The sequence below is a fragment of the Homo sapiens genome, chromosome 12 (assembly GCF_000001405.40).
Source record: "Homo sapiens chromosome 12, GRCh38.p14 Primary Assembly".
NCBI classification, from domain to species: Eukaryota; Metazoa; Chordata; class Mammalia; order Primates; family Hominidae; genus Homo; species Homo sapiens.
In genome coordinates, this window is record NC_000012.12 from 6,392,054 (window position 1) to 6,398,125 (window position 6,072).

Sequence of the window (6,072 nt, forward strand, 5' to 3'; positions counted from 1 at the left end):
CCACACGCGAAGTGAAAAATGTTCTCCAAGGTTGATTGAAGGGAAATGTGTGCAATTTTTTTTTTTTTTTTTGAGACAGGATCTAATTCTGTCACTCAGGCTGTTGTGCAGTGGCACTATTATGGCTCATGGCAACCTTGAACTCCTGGCTCAAGGGATCCGCCCACCTCAGCCTCCCAAGTAGCTGGGGCTATAGGTGTGTGCCACGACGCCCAGCTAATTTTTTGTATTTTTAGTAGAGATCAGGTCTCCCTGTGTTGCCCAGGCTGGTCTCGAACTCCTGGGCTCAAGCAATCCTCCTGCCTTGGCCTCTGAACATGCAGTGATTACAGGCGTGAGAGCCACCGTGCCTGACCTGAGGTGTGCACTTTAGACATAAAATGAGAGAGGCCAAGTTCACATTTTGTTGGTGAACAGAAATCTAGGCTGGCCTCCTTTTGGTTCAGAAAGAGTATTTATGATTTTTACTTTTTTGGTTTCTTTTTGTCTTCTTTTATTTTTACCCCCAAAAAGGACTTTAAATCTTCTCAAGCCCTCTTATTAGTAAATGTTTGCCCCTCCCTGCCCCTGAATTCTCTCCTGTGCTCGGTCGAGAGGATCTTAGCTTGCAGGATTGTTAGGGAGCTGCTGCCAGCCGGCTGCTCCTTCCATAAAAGGCCACTCTCATGGGTCTGATATGAGGAACTCTGTCGCTGGAGCTCATCAGGGTGGGGCGGCTGCAAAACACACACCTCAGAAGGCGTCTGATCCAATGGAGTGGATGGGTCATTTAAGGTTGACTGTGAAAATATCACATCCAACTTCCTTTTTTGAAAAGTAAATAATGGTGAGCTGTATCTTTAAATAAAGTTAAATCCTCCTGCCCCTGCAATATGCTGGGGCCAGACCTCATGAATTCTTAATAATTGTTCTAATGTGTTTAGATAAAAAACAAATTTTATACATTTTTTTCAACAAAATAAAAGGAGGAAAATATTTTGAAAGAAATGATGCTGAAGCACAGCCCTTTGTGACACCATTCAAATTTATAATTATACCTGCCTGTATTTTTTTAGAGACAGGGTCTTACTGTGTCGCCCTGGCTTGAGTGCAGTGGTATAATCGTGGCTCATATAGCCTCAGCTCCTAGACTCAAATGATCTTCCTACCTCAGCCTCCCACGTAGCTAGAGCTACAGATGCGTGCCACCACACCTGGCTAATTTTTTTTTAATTTCTTTTTTAAGAAGTGGGGTCTTGCTATGTTGTCCAGGCTGGTCTCAAACTCCTGGGATCAAGTGATCCTCCCACCTCAGCCTCCCAAAGAGCTGAGATTGCAGGCATGAGCCACTGCACCTGGGCTGCCTAAATTAATTTTCTAGGGCCGCCATAACAAAGTACTGCAGACTCGATAGCTTAAGCTGCAGAGATTTATCTTCTCACAGCTCTGGAGGCTGGAAGTCAGAGGTCAACGTGTTGGCAAGGTTGGTGTCCTCTGAGGCCTCTGTCCTTGGCCTGCTAATGGTGGCCTTCCTGCCACCTATGTCTTCACATGGTCTTGCCTTTGTGCATGAGTGTGTCCTAATCTTCTCTTAGTGGATTAGGGCCCATCCTGATGACCTCATTTTAACTTAGTCACCTCTTTAAAGCCCCTGTCTCCAAATAAGGCCCCATTCTGAGGTCCTGGGAGTTAGGGCTTCAGCACGTGGATTTTGGAGGGAGACACAGTTCCACCCACAGCATTACCCATGTCTATTTTGCCAGTGTGGAGTCAGTACAGGCTCCAGGACACATCCACAGAGCACAGGCCACGTAGAGGGGAGCTCCTGTCTACAAGGAAAAGCTGGCAGAAAACCAACAAAGACAGCCTCTTGATGGTGGTCTTCAAAAGATGCAACAGGATGCAATGGCAGTTGACAATGGGGTAACTGTTGGTTGTGAGAACCCTAATCCTCTACCACAGGGAGGAGAAAGCTAACACCAAGTCCAACCCACATCAACACGGGGGTGGGACACCCGTTAGGGGGCCAAGGCTGTAGTCCAGAAGAAAGGTGGATGGAACTGGGGACAGAGCAGTAGCACAGGGAGATGGGGGAGGATGGGGTAATTCAGAATTTCCCTTTTTGAGAGTGGCATCAACACAATGTCAAAGTAGGAGTTCTCCGGCTTCTCTCCTCCCCAACAGAATTTCAACTAGCAACAATCCTGTGGCAAGTTTACCACCCTGAATATCCCAGAACTTGGAGTGAAGCTTTGCATCCCCTGGGATGGCAGAGCCAAGAAAAACCATGAGGACGGTAAGGGGATGGCTGCTTTCTGACCACGCCACTCCTCCCCAAGCCCGCACAGTGCCACACGCAGAGGAGTCCCTGGATGCTCGGTTTCTCCAGTGGACACAGTGGATGGGAGGTGGGCGTTCGGCTTCCCCACCAGTCTGAGACTTCACAGGAGACTCACTCTAGTCTTTTCCCGCAGGAAGCACTGTGAGTACCGGCAGGGTCAGCCCAACAAGGGTCAGTAAGAACTTCCCTTTTCAAAAGATAAAGCGGTTCACATAGACAGCTGTGGTGGACTCTTTCTGCTGCCTGTCCAACAGACTTCTGCACATTTCCTAAGGACAGAACCGCATTTTTGTACTAGAGCAGAGATTCCGTGACATCAGGAGAAGAGGCCCTTCCCCCAATCCCAGGAGCCAATAAACTCATTCTTCTTTGCAATTGTACAATGACATGCACAGGGAAGTCTTCCTTTCCAGGGTATAAAGCACCATTAGGAGAAAGTTTTTGGTTTGCCTTGGCCCTTATTTTTTGTTTTGGGGATTTTGCGTGTGACAACATCACTCCTGAGCTGTGGCAGCCATCTTACCATCATGAGGAAACCGCCACGGGGATAAAAAGCCAGTCCTCTGAGGACCTGGAAGAAAGGACAGAACCTGGCTCCCAAGGCATCACTGAGACCCAAATCAACAGTAAGTAAGCACAGCACCTACTCCTGGGCTTCTTTTTATGAGAGAAAAAAAAAGTTCCCATTTGTGTAAATCATAGTGTTTGGTGTTCCTTTTCTTTTTTAGTTTTAATTGTATTTATTTCCTCTCTTTCGGATGGTTGATTTATTCACATGGGTCAAAATTCAAAAAGTATCAAAGAGTAAACAGTGAAATGTCTCTCTTTCACTCCTATCCCCCAACCACCAAGGTCCCTGCTCTGGAAGCAACCAATGTTACTGTTTCTGATGCTTTTCCAGAGGTAATTTATGCATATTCAAACAAATATATATAAATAGATTCCTTTGCTTTTTTATTTCTACAGATGGTACTACAGTAGTCCCCCCTTGTTTGTTATTTTTTTTTCTTGTTTGTGATTTTGCTTTCCATGGTTTCAGTTATCTGCTGTCAACTGTGGTCCAAAAATATTAAATGGAAAATTCCGGAAAGAAACAATTCATCTGTTTTAAATTGTGCACTGTTCTGAACAGCATGATGAAACCTCAAGCTGTCCTACTGAGACAGAGTAGGGATGGGACTCGGGCCCCACTCGTGCCCTACCAAGAACCTCTATTGTAAGCTGGGGTGGGGGTGTGTGGCCAGTGAGGACCCCAACCAGACTGTCCAGACCTTGCACCATGAATCTTGCTCAAGGTACTATACCCACTCATCGCAGACCCTTAGAGAGACTAAGATGAACAACGTCCCACCATAAATCTTACTCCAGGTGCCAAACCCACTAGTTGTAGAAATTAAAATAAGCAGCTCCCACCTTGAATCTTACTCAAAGGAGTTAACCCTATCTCCCGTATGTATACCACAGGACCAGAAGAATGAGCGCTCCTTTGCCTTATCTTCATTATAATACTAAAAATCACACCGGGGTGGAGACTTAACATGCTAATGAGACACACGATGCATAAAGAAGCATGTTATCAAACTGAACAGGTGCCAAAATTTCCTCATCTCTACCTGCTCAAACTCACTCCCTTCCCACTTTAGTTCCTTTAATTCTCCTTTAGTTCCTTTAGTTCTCTTGAGTCTCTTCCAGGAGCCAGCCAGAGAATTCTCTCTCTCGTGCTGCCTCCCTTATGCCCTGCATAAGCTCTAATAAAGCCTTGTCTGGGAAAACTCTTTTGGCCTCATGTTAACTTCTATTGCATTAACAACCCCCAAGGCCCTGTGGTTGGTAACACTACTCCTGTCCCTTCAAGACATGAATTCTCCCTTTGTCCAGCATCTCCTCCCTGCAGACGCTCCCTACCCCTTAGTCACTTACAAGCCTTCCCAGTGATCAGACCAACTGTTGAGATATTGCATGCTTGTGTTCAAGTCACCCTTATTTTACTTCATAATGGCCTCAAAGTGCAAGAGTGGTGATACTGGTCATTCAGATATGCCAAAGAGAAGCCATAATATGCTTCCTTTGATGACTTTGCTAAGATCTGCATAACAATGCACCTTCTATTCATGAAGTTGTGAAGCAGAAAAAAAGAAATTCAAACTAGTTTTGCTGTCACACCTTAAACTGCAAAAGTCATGGTGCATGATAAGTGCTTAGTTAAGTTGGAAAAGGCATCAAATTTCTGGGTGGAAGACATGAACAGAAACGTGTTTTGACTGACAGCAATCGGGTTCAGTGCTATCCACGGTTTCAGGCATCCACTGGGGGCCTTGGAATGTATCCCCCTTGGAGGAGGGTGGACTACTGTACACGATGTTCTGTAAGTTCTTCCCCTTGCCTTTTTCATTTATTAAAAGAGCTTGGCCATAATACCATATTAGTACCAAAAAAAGTTCTCATTCATTTTTCTATCTGTGTGGTATTCTATCACCTGGCTGTACCATTTAACTGGATCCCTTTTGAGAATTTTTAATTCATCTCCAACCTTTACTATTACAGACAACACTACAGTAATAACCTATGTCATTTTGCACATGTGGAAGTACTGCTACAAAAAAAATTGCTGGAAATAAAATTTCCTGGTTAAAAGGTACATACATTTCGTTTTGATAAATGTTGCTAATTTGTCTTCCATAGAGATGGAATATCGGAATTTTTTTTTTTTTGAGATGGAGTCTCACTCTGTCACCCAGGCTGGAGTGCAGTGGCGCAATCTGGGCTCACTGCAAGCTCCGCCTCCCGGGTTCACGCCATTCTCCTGCCTCAGTCTCCTGAGTAGCTGGGACTACAGGCGCCTGCCACCACACCCGGCTAATTTTTTTGTATTTTTAGTAGAGATAGGGTTTCACCGTGTTAGCCAGGATGGTGTTGATCTCCTGACCTTGTGATCCGCCCGTCTCGGCCTCCCAAAGTGCTGGGATTACAGGCATGAGCCACCGTGCCCGGCCGAACATCGGAAATTTTTAAGTGTCCATTTCCTTACATAAACACCAACTTTGATGTGTTATCAAATATTTTGATCTTTGCCAAACTGAAAGATAGAAAAAAAAAAGTTATCTCAGTGTAATTTTTATTTGGATTTCTTATTGCGAGTGAAGTTTTTCACTTCACTGTGAATGAGTATTTCATTTCATATGAGTGAACATTTCATATGTTAAAGAGCCAGTTGTAATTTATTTTCTACTGACTGTTCATATCTCTATTTTTCTTTTTTTTTTTTTTTTTGACAGGGTCTTGCTCTGTCACCCAGGCTGGAGTGCAGTGGCCCAATCACAACTCTCTGCAGCCTCCACCTCCCAGGCTCAAGTGATTCTCCCACCTCAGCCTCTCTCCAGTAGCTGGGACTACAGACACACACCACCACGCCAGGTTACTTTTTAAATTTTTTGTAGAGATGAGGTTTCACCATGTTGCCCAGGCTGGTCTCAAACTCCTGAGCTCCTTCTGCCTCAGTCTTCAAAGTGCTGGGATTACAGGTGTGAGCCATCACACTTGGCCTCCTATATTTCTATTAGTTTTCAAATGTTATCTTTTTATCTCCAGTCATCTATTGAACAATAATTTTTTCTTCACTAATTTAAAACTACTGTTATGATAAGCCAAGTTTTTGTGCAAGTTTGAATTTACTTCTGGATTTTCAATTCTCTCTCATTGATCCGTCTTTTCAATTTGCCAACATTACAGTCTTTCAATTGTTTTAGCTTTAT